General features: G+C 36.3%; 1 long non-coding RNA gene across 1 annotated transcript in view; it reads right to left on the bottom strand.

The window, feature by feature from the left end:
• Nucleotides 1-16,501, bottom strand: part of LINC00113 (long intergenic non-protein coding RNA 113) — a 28,855-nt gene extending 12,354 nt beyond the window's left edge. Inside the window, exon 1 of the long non-coding RNA NR_024357.2 lies at nt 16,467-16,501. This is a non-coding gene — a long non-coding RNA (long intergenic non-protein coding RNA 113). The remainder of the gene's footprint in view (nt 1-16,466) is intronic.
• Between the last annotated feature and the right edge of the window lie 664 nt (nt 16,502-17,165).

The raw sequence follows: 17,165 nt of genomic DNA, 5'->3' as shown, positions 1-17,165 counted from the left end.
TCCATAACGCTTTTCAGGAGCCTACAGGAATACTTGAGATGATCAAAAACAAAACAAAACAAGCCCCAATTGATTACACACCATCAGAAGATTGAAATGAACACAACTTTAATTAAATATCTATATTTATAACATAAGAAATTGGTTAATTATGAAGCTAAAAGTAAAAATGGATTTATAGTATTTAAAAATGAGATTGTATTTGATTCTACATGAACTCTCGAGATTATATGATAATCTTGGGGAAGTAAATACCAAACAAATTAAATGGAACTCACTTATAGTTCAAATAGTAATTTCAAAAGAAACAAATACATAACATTCTGTCAAAATTTCAGAGCATATACTGATATTTAAGATATGATTATATTTAAATATGTATATATAAGATTTTATGATGGATCATCAAAAGTGATGTAGTTTGGATGTTTGTCCCCACCAAATATGTTGAAATGTGAACCTGAGTGTTGAAAGTGGGACCCAGTGGGAGGTGTTTGGGTCATTGGGACAGATCCCTCATGAAGGGCTTGGTGCCATCCTTGTGGTAATGAGTGAGTTCTCACTCTATTAGCTCACAAAAGAGTTGGTTGTTAAAAAGAGACTGGCACCTCCTTTTCTCTTGCTCTCTCTCAGTGTGACACATTGGGTCCCCCTTTACCTTCTGCCATGAGTAAAAGCTGTCTGAGGTTTCACCAGAATAGGTACAGATGCTGGAACCATGCATGTATAGCCTGCAGAATCCTGAGCCAAAATAAACCTCTTTTCTTTATAAAGTATTCAGTCTCAGATATTCCTTTAAAGCAATCCAAAATGGACTAACACAAAATGTATAACACAAGAGGCTCTTAAAATGTAGCACGTAAGAGTATTCAGCAATGAAACTGTGTTACTCACCTGAAAGATTTGCAGGAAACTGATTTAAATCACTAACAATATACTAATGTTTCGTAAAGCAAATAAATTAAGTCGGCCTTCTACATTCTCAGTTTCAATTAACAAAAATTTAGTTTTCTAGAGCTTCTGTGTTTGAAAATATGTCATGAATTACTGCATGTTTCATCTGCTGTTGGTTGAATCCTTGGAGGCAGAAACTGCAGATATGAAGGGCCAACTAAGGGACTTGAGCATCCACAAATTTGGGAATATTCAGTGGTCCTAGAACAAATCCTCACATATATGGAGGGCTAACTACATTGGAAAACCAGAAAGAATTTCCTTTAATTCATATAACATGGTTTGGCTCTGTGACCCCACCCAAATCTCACCTTGAATGTAATAATCCCCACATATCATGGGAGGGACCCAGTAGGGGGTAATTGAATCATGGGGCCAGGTTTTCCCCATGCTGTTCTCCTGATAGTGAATAAGTCTCATGAGATTTAATGGTTTTATAAAAGGGAGTTCCCCTGCACATGACCCTCTTGTCTGTCATGTAAGACATGCCTTTGCTCTTCCTTCACTTTCCACCATTTTTGTGAGGCCTCCCCAGCCATATGGAACTGTGATTCTTTTAAACCTCTTTCTTTTATAAATTACCCAGTCTTGGGTATGTTTTTATTAGCAGCATGAGACCAGACTAATACATCATAAAAGTGTTTTAATATTTTCAAGTAATAAATAAATTAATGACAAAACATAGACAATTGTTATAAACTTTAAAGGGAAAAATTTCCATGGAATCCTCTTTTTTTAATATTTAAAAAAGCCAACTCCTCAATATCTTTACAGATTTTGGATCAATATGACAGGTAACTTAATAAGAAATTGAGATTTGTTCCTAGAGTTATTTTTTATAAAAAATTCAGTCTCTCTAAAGCTAGTAAAAAAGCCAAAAGACATTGTAAACTATTTCAGTTGAGTGAACTTCACATTCTTTGAATGTTTCTTGTCACTAATATTTTCATTAAATCAAATATTTTGATTTGAAGAATGTTGTTTTGTGACTTTTTTTTTCTGAAGTGTTTTCTTTGATTAAAACAATGCTGATTATGAATGTTTTGATTTTTTTGGTTTGTTGTTGATATTTGGATTGGCCCTCAACCTGCACTGCATCTTTCATTTGGAGAAGTTAGAAAAGTAAAACTCTTTCTGAGGCTTCTTTGAAGCTTTGGCACTAGGAGAGAATTAGTTACCTAATCAATCATGGGATTTCACTCAAGGTTGGAAGGCAGATATGATGCACAGACGATCTCTTTGCAACTTTTTAACATTACTGCTGATTAGGAAGGTCCAGGAGGTAACGGGGTCCTTTAGAACCATGGGTGTCAAGAAAAACACGCCATTGACCTGATTCCCCTACTTTTAAAATGAAGGTTTGGAATTCCATTTTTTCGGGTTCCTGGTGTTAAGACCAACATGACTTCAATGGTGACCACAAAGAAGTAGTGCTCAGTTTTAGAACTTGCACCAATACTTTCAGTCACTTTAGTACCTAAGTTATACCTAGTTGTAGTGAAAGCTCATAATATTATATTGCCTCAGCATCTGTTTTAAATGCAAGTTTATTTAGCCTTCTTGTAACAGAGACAGGACTCAGTCACCCTTGACAAAGTTTTCAGTTCTATACTACACTCAAATCGCTTGAGCAGGTGTCCAGAGATAGGAACTTAGAGACATCTCTCCTGCCTGGTGGACTGGGCTTCCCAATTTCCCACCACTTCCTTTTAATGGACCATTCAGATCCTGCATTCAAACTTAAGGTGACCCACACCCCATTCCCCCATCTAGACTGCTAGTTGCCCCACACTCTCTCTCCTTTTGCCTGTGCTCCCTGACCTTTGCGTACGTGGATTTTAGGCATGAAGTGTACCCCCTGAGGTCCGTAAGTACTGAAAACTCCTAATCTTACATTGAACCTCAGATATTGTACTGAGTTGCAAATGTTAAGAGAGGATCATATAGTTTTAATTAGACCCAGAATTAAAACTATATGATCCTCTCTTAACATTTACAACTCACTGCAATATCTGAGGTTCAAAAATGATGACTCGGATATTTCAGTGAGATGTACTAAACCAGAAAATTTAGCTGCTGATAGTTGACTGTAAAGATCATCTTATTCAAGACACTTATTTAGGAATGGAAGTATAGATAGTACAAGATTCTTAGTTCAAGGTTAAAAATATATTTATACTTCAAAACCAAACTAGAATCTGATTTCATTACATGTGTTCTCCAATTCATATTGTCTCTTATGGTCAGTGGTCTCTGTTCAATTATTCAGGAAAATCTGTTCATGGATGGACTTTGGCAATTAGGTGCATATAATACTATTTGACAGCACAATCCCCTTTCTAGAATCAGGAGTGTAACTCAGTAAATATGAGCCTATGGAAACAGAACTACCACATAGACAACTTGGAACAAGGGCAAATTATGTCCGCCCTGTGCTACACAAGCCCTTCTATGACCCAGTTTGGGCTCTCTTTATTACAAAAGCCATCTTATTGTTCCCCAGGGCATATTTTTGAGTCTCTCCCACCTGAAACTCAGTACCCGAACTCTCCAGGGGGAAGAGAAAATTGTACACCTCCCTTGTCAAGTCTAAGTTCCTCCCTAGTGTTCATTTCCTCCCCAGGACAGTATGCTTTCCTAGACGACTGGACTTGAGAATTCCAGCACACTTATAGAAAACCATGTTCTCTGCATACAGAGGCTGGATCTGCCTTAGGCTTCATGAGCATAATCTATCTGAACATATGAATTCTATGTCACCACATTTGTCCATGTCTGAGTTATTCCATATAAAAATAACAGCAGGCATGAATCTTGAATTGTAGATTGTGGAGTAGAATTCAGAAATCCCAGTTGGTTCTTCTTTATGGTCTCTCAGAGAGCATGAATCCACATATAACACAGCATCTTTGCTCTTAATATCCTTTGTTCAAATGCTTGAACCAGACCACAAACAAAATGCATTTGCCAAGAAATAATAAATATAATTAGAAAAAGTGCAGTCTAAAACCATATTTAGAAAAGAAACATTTCTAAGTGGGATCTTGATATACAGACACAATGAATGAAGAGTCAGTCTCTTATATCATTTGGTAGCATAGTTTAGTTTATTGGAGCCAGGGTGTCTGGAGAGTCAGCATCCCAGATTGGGAACTTTGCTTGAACATTTCATAATTGAAAGCCCATTAAAGTGATTATCTGAACACTATAAACTTGCCTTCTCTGAAGGTAAATTCAAGCGTCAACCTCAAAAATCTCAAACGCAGTTTATAAGCTCAGAGTGGTAAGGCTTTCTGGTTTTTTCATCATCAAGATTTTAAAAACCCTTGGTGTCCAGAATCAGCTGTTGCATATTCAAACCTCAAACTTTTGAAGAAGGAGAGACATTGCAAAAGAACAATCAGGCCAAATGGAAGAGAAGCAGTCACAAGACTGAGAAAGAAAAAAGATTAAGTCTTGAAAAATGGGTAATGGTGAAGTCCTCCCAGTTTTGTGAATGATAGTTCTGCTTTCATATAGACCTTATAGTTTGCATTATTAGCAAATTCCAGTCATTCTTATCTTCTTACTTAGTGACTATGTTCTATATGACTCTGCCAAGGTTGCCATAGCAAAGTACCAAAGACTGAGGGACATAAACAACAGAAGTTTATTTTCTCAAGTTCTTGTGGCTTGAAGTCTGAACTCAAGGTGTTAGCAGGGTTATTCCCTCCTGGAGTCTCTCCCCTTGGCTTGTAAATGGCCTTCTCTCTGTGTTTTCACAGTCTTTCCTCTCTAATATGTGTCTCTGTCCTAATTTTCTCCCCTCATAAAAACATCAGTCATAAGGAGTAGGGCCCACCTTAATGACCTCATTGTTAATATAACTTTACCTCTTTGAAGACCCTATCTCCAAAGACAGTCACTTTCTGAAGTAGTGAGGGTTAGGACTACAACACATACATTTGGGGAAATACAATAAAATCCCTAACATATTACTTATTCTAGCCTTACCTTTATCTTTGTAATGTCCCTGGGAATTTTCACCCTCTCTTGGGGCAAATATATTGAAATTAAAAATAATACTTACATTGAAATTAGTATTTTGGTGTATCTTCCCCTGGTTTTGGCAATACAAAAAATTAAAACTCTTTATAATATTATATAAGCCCTACTCTGTCCCATAATTTTCCCATCAAAAATGAATTATGAGATTATTTAATGTATGAAATATTGCTCAGGAAAGTAGAGTATAATGAATATGTACAATCCACTGCATGAAATAAACACATTGAACATTTTAATTATCCCTTATTTTGACCATTCAGGAGATACACAGTATTTTTACAAATAATAACGTAATGAAGACACCTAGAAAGAAATATTTGTGGGTACATTTCATTAGCCCATAGAATAAATTCATGGTGAGGCAAATTACTGTTTCTAAGTCTATGAATATTTCAAAGGTATTTAAGCCTGCCAAATTACTATTCAGAAGGAAGTTATTCATTACAGATCACACTACAGTAAATCATCAGTAACAGAAAACGAATTGTCTAATATTTTTCATAATGATATGCAAATTTAGTGCTTATTGTCATTCAAACTGACTTCAAGTTGACCAAATAATTTATTGCATTTATTTATTTTTATCTCTTTAAACCTTTTATCAATTTTTCTGTTGACATATTTGTGTATATCTAATTTTTCTGAGCAAATTTACTATAAAGATCAACTTAAAATGGATTATGGTGGCTTGTCCACACTACCAGTTTGGTAATGAAAATTTGCCTATTTGAGTTACCGATATTTTATCGTCCAGTAAAGCACATCATTGAATGTTTAGAACAAGTTCTATAGTGAACATTTAAAATTCTATTTTTAAATTTATTTATTATACTTTAAGTTCTAGAATACACGTGCAGAACATGCAGGTTTTTTACATAGGTATACACGTGCCATGGTGGTTTCCTGCACCCATCAACCCATCATCTACATTAGGTATTTTTCCTAATGCTATCCCTCCCCTAGCCCCCATCCCCCAACAGGCCCCGGTGTGTGATGTTTCCCTCCCTGTGTCCATGTGTTCTCATTGTTCAACTCTCACTTATGAGTGAGAACATGCGGTGTTTGGTTTTCTGTTCTTGTGTTAGTTTGCTGAGAATGATGGTTTCCAACTTCATCCATGTCCCTGCAAAGGACATGAACTCATCCTTTTTTATGGCTGCATAGTATTCCATGGTGTATATGTGCCATGTTTTCTTTTCTAGTGTATAGTTTCTAAAATTTCCTAAATGTACAATGTATTTATTTATTTTTTGTATTTGTGTACATAAAAAGAGCACAAAGTTTGAGACAGTTCAGTCAAGTCATTGTCTCCCTGCTTTGCTTTATATATTTTAGCAGAAAAAGAAATATAACTTGGTCATTTAATTTCCTGTTTTATATCAGGAGACTATTTAGGAATACAAAGAAATGAAGTTACTTTTTTGACATTCTGTTAATTGATTGTAGGACCATGATACAACTGGCACAGAAAAAGTCTTTTATGAGATAATCATGATGGCATAAAATCAGGGCAAGGGAAATAGCATATTCAGATTAGCTAAAAGAACTACAAACACACTATACACTGAAGGAAAAAAACTAAATGTTGTGTTTCATGAACAGGTGGCTGTGATAAATGTGTGAAAGTGTTGGTGAGCTCAAGGCAGTTATGGAAAGAGATGATGGTTTTTAATGTTGTTTGAGCTGTCACTTAGAATGAAGAAGCTAATACTAAAGGGCTGCATAATTGCTGACAATAGCACTGCCAGCCATCAGTTAAAATGAAAAGGAAGGTAGAAATTGGTTCTTTATAAGAGGATCCTTCTAAAATTAGAGCTTACAAAGTAACAGTGTAAAGAATTCTTCATGATTTCATGAAATATCTTTCACTGGGAGAATTCAAGTTGTAGCTATAGCATAGTCTTTCAGAAATGTAGTACATCTTATTGTATATAGTAACAGTCCATAGAATTAGCTAAAATCAGCACATGTGGCTATTAATATCTCCTGAAGTTCATTGATTCTCAGTTCATACTCATAATTTGATTGTGTTTTATCCTGGTTTTATGGAAAATAACACAAATATGTTATTTATTACAGCATATTAAAAAATAGAAATTGTGCCAAAGGAAAATTTATAATATTATTACATGCATACCACTTTTTGTAACTACTAAAATCTTAAGGACATGTTCTGACAACTTTTTATTAAATCTGAGGATATTGACTTAACTGGCGATAAGGCAATTATGTTAACTTCAAAGGAAGCATATAAAACTAGCTTTTGTAAAATAAACGTTTGAAACATGTTTTTAATCATGATATATTATTATAAATCACATACATAGAGCTGAGATTGTGCCACTGCACTTCTGCCTGGGTGACAGAACCAGACTCTGTCTCAAAAAAAAAAATAAATAAAATAAAATTACATGCATAAATAACAAGATAAAAAAGGATAATATTGAATCGGTGACTCCAAAATAATTATTGCAAAAATAATGTGCTGTAAATATTAAATTATTTCATTTGTTCTCTCCCAGTCCATGTTCCCTTGAGCATTTCACTTGCAAAACTGAGCCATAAGTCTAAATATTTCATTGTCTGAGGGAGAAAATAATGGACCCCTTTGGCAAACATACTACTGAAAAAAAACACTGAAGCTCAGAATATGCACATATGGTAGATAGAAGACTTTTTCTAAATTTCTTTGAAATCTCACGAATCAAGCTTGGAAGTTACATGTCATGTCTGTATAGCTATATTCCTTAGCATGAATAAGGTGCTACTTCTACAATGACATTAAAAATAGTTTTGCAGGCCGGGCACAGTGGCTCATACCTGTAATCCCAGCACTTTGGGAGGCCGAGACTGGTGGATCACTTGAGGTCAGGAGTTCGAGACCAGCCTGGCCACATTGGTGAAACCCCCTCTCTACTAAAAATACAAAAATTAACCGTGCATGGTGGCGGGTGCCTGTAATCCCAGCTACCAGGGAAGCTAAGGCTTGAGAATTGCTTGAATTCGGGAGGCGGAGATTGCAGTGAGACAAGATGGCACCACTGCACTCCAGTCTGGGTGAGAGAGTGAGACTCAGTCTCAAATAATAATAATAATAATAAATAAATAATAAATAAAATACAAATAATTTTGCAGAATGAACTTTCTATTGATAGAAAATTCCAGAGTTGAGAATTATATTGTAACAAATATAACAAGTCATTTTAATCTTTTGATTAATGTTAGGAGATACTTTTCTTAAACATAGCTATTACAATCTATAGTAAAGATCTTGTTCAGTTAAGTAAATGTTCAAAACAATTAGTTAATATTGATGAGTTTATTGTAGTACTACTATTTAAATTTTGCTTTTTAAATTAAATGTTCCTTACTTATTGTGGCAGAGGGAGGCAATAATTTGGTAAAGATAAAAAGCCAAAAACTTCACCCAAGCATGGGGACAATTACTACTCAATTGTTCTTTTAATATCAATTGCAAAGCCTTTCTAAGCCTACCATCTCTTTTGAGCTTTATCCTAGTATCCTCTTCACTTAAAATTTCATGGAAACACTATAATCTTGGAAATTTGTAGCTAAGCAGAAACCATTCAGATAAGAAATAAAAGTCCTGGAAGAGAAAAGAACTTGTGCAAATAGAAGAGAAAGAAGGTAAATCTGTGTGCTCTCAAGAAATTAGTTTCATTAGTTTGTTCAGGATTTAACACAAATTGCAAGGGCCACGGTAGAAAATGAGTTTCATGTTGAATGAAAGGATAGAAATAGAATCATAATTTAGGGGAGTAAAAATGTAAATTGGATTGAGTTTTTAAAAATTGAATTTTCTTTTTCTGCATCATTAACTCCTTCTACTCCTCCACCTCCTTTTCCTCTTCCTTCACCTCTTCTTCTTCTTTTTCCTGCTTTTTATGATAAGAACAACCAGATAATGTTTTAGATTTTGCTTAGTACTAGTATTATTTAATACTCATATATTTTATATACTTCACCAATGTATTGTCTTGTATTTTTCTTTGGAGAAAGGCTTTTTAATAACAATTTCAGTTTAGTTAATAGGTATAGAGCTATTCAGACATTCTATTTTTTATGTCAGTTTTACTATGTTGTATTTTTCCAAAAATTTGTCCATATCAAAATCTTTAAGTTTGTTGGAATAGAGTTTTTCATGAATATTTGCATATTGTAATACCTTTTATTATTTCTGATAATAAATAAGTTTTTTTTCTTAATCAGTCTTGCTAGGGGTTTATCAATTTATTAATCTAAACATTTTTATCTATTCTCTACTTAATTTCTCATATCTTTATAATTTCTTTCCTTCTATTTACTCTGTATATAAATTGCTTATCTTTTTCTAGTTGCTTAAGATGGAAAATTATATCACTGATGTTAACCTTTCTTATTTTCTTAAAATATTTACGGCTATGAATTGCCCTTTAAGCACAATGTTACCTGCATTTCACAAATGTTGATACGTGTTGTTATCATTATAATGAGATTCTAAATTGTTTTCTTGTGATTTCTTTCTTGATTAATTATTTTTCCAAACATTTGAACAATTCTGTCTAGTTTAATGTTATAGTATCAAATTTAATTTTATGGCTGTGAATAAATATTCTTATATGACTTCAATTTTTGACATTTCTTGAGATTTATTTTGGGCCAGCATATATTCTGTCTTGGTGAACGTTTAATATGCAACTGAAAATAATGCATTTTCTGAAGTTTCGTAACTGTGACATATTCTTCAGTGTTCTACAAACGTCAATTAGAAAAAGGTCATTGATAGTGTGTTTTAGATCCTATGTATCTTTCCTGGTCTTGTGTCTAACTAATCTATCAGTCAGTGATAATTCAATATTAAAACCTGTAATTGTCCATTTTTTCCTTTACTTTTTTTGTTTTCGTTTTACATACTGTCATGCATCGTTTAACCACAGAAATACAGTATGAGCAATGCGTTGTTAGGTGATTTTGTCATTGTGTGAACATCATAGAATGCACTTACACAAGTCTATAGCCTACTACACACTTAGCCTAGATGGTATGACTTCTGTTCCTTGGTTACAAACCTCAGCAGGCTTCTGTGCTGAATACTGTAGGCAATTATAACACAATGTTAAATATTTGCACATCTAAACATAAGTAAACAGAGAAAAGGTATGGTAAAAATAAAGTATAAAAGATAAAAACTGGTACACTTGTATAGGGCACTTACCTTGAACGGAGCTTGCACGATTGGAAGTTGCTCTGGGTGAGTCAATGAAGCACTAGTGAGTGAATGTGAAGGCCGAACACATCACTGCACTCTACTGTAGACTAGATACACATTGTACACTTCAGCTACACTAAACTTATCAAAAATATTTTTCTTCAATCATAAATTCAACTTAGTTACTACAACATTTTGACATCATAAAGTAGGTATATTTACATCAGCACCACTACAGGCACGTGAGTAATGCATCACACTGCATTACAACGGCTATAAATTTTTGAGCTCCATTATAATGCTATGGGACCACCGTTATGTATGCAAAACAGAAACAACTTTATGCAGTACATGGCTGTATTTTGAAGCTCTGTTAATTAAGTATGCAAACATGTATGATTGTTATGTCTTAATGAAATGCTGCGCTTTATTTCAGGTAATGTTTATTGTACTGGAGCATACTTTGATATTACAGTATTCATACAATTTACATTTTTACATTTTAGATAGTATATCTTTTTCCATGTTTTATGTTTTAGTCTATTTGTGCCCTATATTAAATATACATATCTTTAAAGAGGATATTTGCTGCAAATATCCTGAACCTAAAACAAAGTTAAAAAAACAAAAGAGGTCTTTTGGTCTTGCTTGTTTTAGTCTACCTGTTTCTTTATGTTAAATATACATATCTTTTAAAGAGGATGTTTGGATCTTGATTATTTTATTAAATCTGACAATATAACAACAGCTAATGTAATAATTAGTATAGTTGGGTTACATTTGTAATTTTTCTAATCTCCATTAGCTAATTTTCTGTAATTGTGTTTTCATTTCTTCCGATTTTGTTTTGCTGTTCTTCCTTTTCTGCCTTCTTCTGGGTTATGTTAATCTTTCAGTGTTACATTTTACTTCTACCATTGACTTTTTGGCTATGCCATTTTGTGAATTGTAGTGCTTACTATAGGGATTACAGTAGGCATCTTTCACTTACTGTAAGCTACTTAGAGTTAATATGGCAGCATTTAATTTGAAGTGTGAGAAGCTTGAAATGATATTGTACGTAAGATGTATATATAAGACCATATATCTATTCTTTGTATTGCTCTTACAAGTGGGTAGTTAGATATGAGCAGGGTAGGAGAGCCCCTTCCCCCTGTCCCAAACAGGAATGTCAGGGGACCATCAAGTGAAGGTCAGGGAGCTGTTATACTGTTTCTCTAAAATAATAATTGGTTATAGCCAGTGCCGGGGAAAGGCAGTCTTCCAATAAGCAGAAACACCTGAGACTGGTGATCAGCAGCTTCCCAATAAGATCTCAGGAGCTGGGTGACTGGGCTCAAATATGCACACTAAGAGGCAAAATTGTGGAGTTTAACTGGTATATGTCCTTCTAGGGATATTTGGCTGGTTAGGGAAGGACACCTCAAGTGAGCATGCATGCATATACAATAAACATGCTGTGCCTGCTCACCTCCCAAGTGCTGGCAGGCCCCTGCACATGCGGGCAGCCCACCCCTAGGGAAGAATCAGGGAGAAGAGACTCAAGAACCAGGAAGCATGTCAACATATCAAACTCCAAGTCAAAAGGACAAACCACACACTTGATCCCGCCAGTCGCCCACTTGGCCCTCTTCCAAGTGTACTTTACTTTCTTTCATTCCTGTTCTAAAGCTTTCTAATAAACTTTCACTCCTGCTCTAAAACTTGTCTGTATCTCTCCTTCTGCCTTATACCTCCTTGTTTGAATTATTTCTTCTGAAGAGGCAAGAATTGAGGTTGCTGTAGACCCATAAGGATTTACTGCTGGTGACATACTTTGGTGCCGTGACACAGATATGTTTTGCTGGGAACATATTTTTGTGCCATGTGACTCAGATACCTTCCACTGCTAACATACTTTGGTGCCATGGGTCTCTAATACGTTTGGCCATTAACATATTTTGTTTCCATGACTTCGACATGGTCTTCAATGGTAAGAGATCTTTATTCCTCACTTGCTTCGGTGGGAGGTGTTCAACACCCATACACAGTTTTCTTCTCCCCTTCTTTCTCCTGCTTACTAACAAACCCCCAGAACAATTCCTCTTGGCCATAAGTGACTCTGCTCACACACACCCACCAGGCTGATCTCTCAGCTGACCCTGACTGGCAGCTTGCAGAGGTGGGAATAACCTTGGGGTTTACACTGAGTAGATCTGAGATGCTAATGGCCCTCCTGGACAGGAGGCTTGTGAGAAAGGTAGGGCTAAAGCCTAAAACCGTGCAATGTCTAGGGTTTCCTCTACCTTTTCAACTAAAATCAGCTCTTTCCAAAAACGCAAACAGCATATTCTCCTGTTTTCTCTGCATGTATTCTGAAATGGCCTTGCACACCCACAGGACTATCTGCTTTGGAGGCAAGTCTGCCTCTTTGCTTTCACTTCACATGCCACATGAATTTTTAAACACACCCTGTTATTTGTGCACCCATGGCTCTTGCTGCATTTGTCTGGCAGCAAAGACACAGGCTGCCTTGCAGAAATACCCTGAGATTTATACTTGTGTTTACCCTACTAGCTCAGATGACCACAAACCCTTCCCTTGTCTGCTGACACATTTCCAGGACAGACACTACTTGGAACCCCAGCTCTGCCAGCTCCTTATGACTTACCATATACTTTTTGTTCCTGTTATACCTCAGAGTCGAGTTTTCAGTGGCTTTTGAAGCAGTTTGTCTAACTGCATAGGGCCTCACTCTGATCCTTTAAGGATCCCACCTACTTACTTTTTTTGAGTTAGCACCCATTTGGAAGGAGGGAGAATTCTTCTTTTGCCAATTGTGAGTTCTTCCCCCAAGCGCTAAGTCTTCCAAAGGTTCTTAATTTATATCAAGAGGGAAAATAAACATTGCTCTCTTGAATTCAAGGGCTGCTATATTTACAAGCGTATTAAGGCTTTCCATGATTATTCCTCTTGCTTCCTACCACTTCCTTCTGTATCCTCCATTTCTCTAATTACTTCTGCATTCTTCACAACATGCATCAAGACCCTCAAGGTCATATTTGAAGGGAGAATGGAGGAAAGTCCATAACTCCCCTTTGGGCAGTTAGCTGAAAAACAGGCTTCTCTTCTACTTAAAGAACATGGGAAATGGAAAGCTGAGAAAAGAGAGTATCTTTTTTTTTTGCTGGAATATTCCAAGAAAGTGTCACTATAAGGTCATGGAAATAAGGATATAGGCTGGCCCAAGGCCACAGGTACAAGAGACCCATAGGACAGAGAGGAAAGGTGGTCCCAGGCTAACAGATTACCATTAGAACAGAGATAAAGGGAAGGTTAGGGGTACATATTCTTAAGTGAGTAGTTGTGATGAGATGGGACCAAAGGTACACAGTTATACCAGTTCATGCCTAAGGACATTGGGGGATGCCCCATTCAGGATAATAGGAAAGTAGAGGGAAGACCTTGTTATTCCTTTTTTCTTTTTCTCTTTTCTGTTCTCTCTTCACAGATGGGTAATTATGTCTTCATACTATAGGACATGCCCCACAGATGCATCCCCCAAAGGGGGGAAAAGTTTGATTTCCCCAAACCTTAAAACAAAAAAATAGTTTTACTTTGTAATCTTGTTTGGCCTAAGTATTAACTGGGAGGAAATTACAAAAGTCAGTCATAGAACCCAGTGACCCTGTGCAGGAGGTCCTCAGATTAGCTTTCTCAGTCTTGTATAACCAAGAGTAGAATAAGGAGAACAGGGTTAAGAAAAAGGAAAAATGCAGGGACAAAAGGCAAGATCAAGTATTGGCTACCTTACAAGCTCTCAATCTCCCTCCAGGTTGTCCTAAGGACATTCCTCCAGGTAATTGCCATTGGTGCTGGAAGCCAGGCCACTGGAAGGTAAACTGTCAGTGAGATAAATAGGAAAAAGACCCACATGGCTTGTCCTCTGTGCCACAAGCTCAACCACTGAAATGGAACTTCTCTGAGGGCTTAAGGGCCCCAGGACAGAATCCCAACCCTGGTGACCTTGAACTGAAAGGGCTCTCTGCTTCAGCCAGCTCCCAGTTCAGACATTGTCATCAAGAGAACAAGGACAACTATGGAGGCAGCAAGTAAAATTATAATTTTCCCTTTTGGGTTCAAGAGCTGACTACTCTGTGCTAATCTTCTCTAGCAACTCTCCTCCAAATCATGTCAGGTAATGAGGCACATGGCACCTCCTGCCTCCAAAGAAAATATTCACACCTCTTTGGGGCAAAAATGTATTTACCAAGACAGGTACCTGCTTAATATTTACCCAACTTCTGAATTCATCTTTCTCTATAATAGCTCTATTTCTATTGCTTATTTTAGAGGGTTAAGGTGTTGTTTAAAGTTAGATTAGATAAAGTTAAAAGTTTAAGTAAGTTGTGGAATGTTTGTGAAAAATTAATCATGTAAAAGAAATTGTGTGAGTGAACATATTAGCTAAAATTAAAAGGGTATTATTCAGCTTATCTGTAAATTAAACATTGGAATAAAAACACAACACAATTTTCTTAGAGTATTGTTCTGCTCTTTAACAGAAAATTGTAAAGGCTTATAAAATGTTCATGAGAATCTTACCTTATGATCAGGCTGATTAAAATTGAACAGATTTGCCTATTAAGGTTTTATTGAGTTGGGTTTGACATCAATAGCACACTAATGCAAAGGTAACATTTGGATTTCATTGGCCTATATTTTTATAAATGTGTTATTGGTATGTGTGTTCCAAAATTATGCAAAATTCCTATGACTCTGATATAAGTTAATATATGCTATCAGGAATAATTATAATTATTATGTTAAATTATTGTGTACCACCAAGTTAACAAATTTCCTTGTCAATTGTATCTTTGACTGTGCCTGCCCTAAGATGTTTTGTCATCCACGAACATTAGTTGTCTTGTTTTGATTATTTTTAGAAGGAGGTTTTATAAACAGCTGTAATACTCTAACAGGTGTTCTAAAACACAGGTTTTTGATCACTTCAAAGATTGTGTCATTAGAGATATGGAGAGCTAAAATGTTCATGAATATCAAGCAGAACATGGACTAAACTAGTAGAAGACTAAAATAATTCTTTTATGAGTTTTTGCTTAAAATGTTGTTAATCCTTCGTTTTTAAAAGACAAGAAAATTTTCTTTTGCATTATTTACAGCTTTTAAAGAATTGAGTAAATAAATTATACTACTATCAACATAATTTGAAGCATAATGTTTTTTCTTCCTACCTGATTTCTCCTGAATTTGAAAACTATTTGTGAATATTCTTAACTCATGGCAATACAGTTATTTGCATAAATGCAATATGAATCTATTTTCTTTTGCAACAGGACACAATTAGAGACACTGGTTATTTTATCAAGGCTTTGACTGAAATAATGTGCATTTCTTTAAGGAACCAAATTTGACTTATAGAGACAATAAAACCCCTTGGGAAAACTGGCCTCACACCTTGTCTACACAGTCCCTGTACAGGGTTCCTGACATAAGTAAAAAATGTCACTTTCTGGAAAATGATTATTCTTGCTGTGATTCATGCAAATAATCTGGCCAAGTGTAATAAGACTAGAACTTATTTTGCAAGCACATCAGTCCTATCAGGATTTATTTTTCATAAAAATAAGATCTGGAGAGAGAAAAATTATGTTTGAAGAACTATGGTACACCTGTGATTAAGTTCTAGCCTCATCAGTTGTTTTTGAGTTTTTGTCTGCAATTTAGACTCACCCTACTTACTCCAGTGAACCAACTAGTAGTGATCTCTGGCTGCAGCTCAGAAGAAACAAAAGGGATGGGTAATGAAAAAATCTGCTTCAGTATTGCAATTCTTGGCACATATTGGAATTGGCTAGCACCCCCACACGCCCAATTCTTAGCAGTTATGACTATAGCCACCAGCTACCTGGGTGTGTCAGCTGTCATCACCCCCTTACTTCATTTTAACATTCTGCTAAATCTAATAACCTGATTTGTCTTCTCTTGCCTTCAGGCCATCAAGCTCTAGATGATCATTATTGAGGGATACCATCCTCTCAATATTTAAGAGTCACCCTCCTGCAGGAGACCCCTAGACTGCCCATCAGTGAGACATGACAGAAGTAAAATCCTGCCTGTGTCTCCTTTGGACCTGGCTGGATACTGCTTTCACCAGCTCACAAAGCAAACCCTTCCCTGGCAACTAGCCAAAGGCCAAGACCCACAGAACCACCATTGCCCCTCTGTGAGAAGGAAGCAGTTACAGAAGACTGACCTTCATCCATTTTTCTCCAAAGAATTGAGGTCTTGGACTCTTGAAAGGGAAGTTGTTACAGTAGGTAGCTAGTCACACACAAGAAGGGTAGGAGAGCACTCCCACTCTAGGAATGTCAGGCATCCATCAGGTGATGGTCAGGTGGTTAGTAAACCATCTCTCTAAATAACAAATGGTCACAGCCAGTGCCAGGGAAAGGCAGTCTCCCAAGAAACAGAAACACCTGAAACTGGTGATAAGCAGCTTTCTAATAAGATCTCAGGAGTTGAGTGAGTGGGCTTGGGCATGTGCACTAAGAGGTAAAATGGAAGAGTTTAACTGGTATATTACCACCAAGGGACATTTGGCTGGTAAGGGGAGAACACCTCAATTGAGCATGTGTACAGGTCCAGTAAACACACTGTGCATGCTCCCCTCCCAAGTGCTGGCAGTTCACTGCACATGTGACAGCCCACCCCAAGGGAAGAATCAGGAGAGAAGGGATGCGAGATCCTGGAAGTATGCTAATGTATAAAATCCCAAGTCCAAAGGTCAAACCGTGCACTTTATCTCTCATGTCACCCACTTGTTCCTCTTCCAAGTGTACTTTACTTCCTTCCATTCCTGTTCCAAAGACTTCTGATAAACTTTCACTCTTGCTCTAAAATTTGCTCTGGTTTCTCCTTCTGCCTCTTTGGTCAATTTGTTTTTCCTGAAGAG

The sequence above is a fragment of the Homo sapiens genome, chromosome 21, assembly GCF_000001405.40.
Source record: "Homo sapiens chromosome 21, GRCh38.p14 Primary Assembly".
Taxonomy (NCBI): Eukaryota; Metazoa; Chordata; class Mammalia; order Primates; family Hominidae; genus Homo; species Homo sapiens.
Note: the sequence above shows the minus strand (reverse complement) of the source record. Positions and strands in the feature narration are given on the sequence as shown.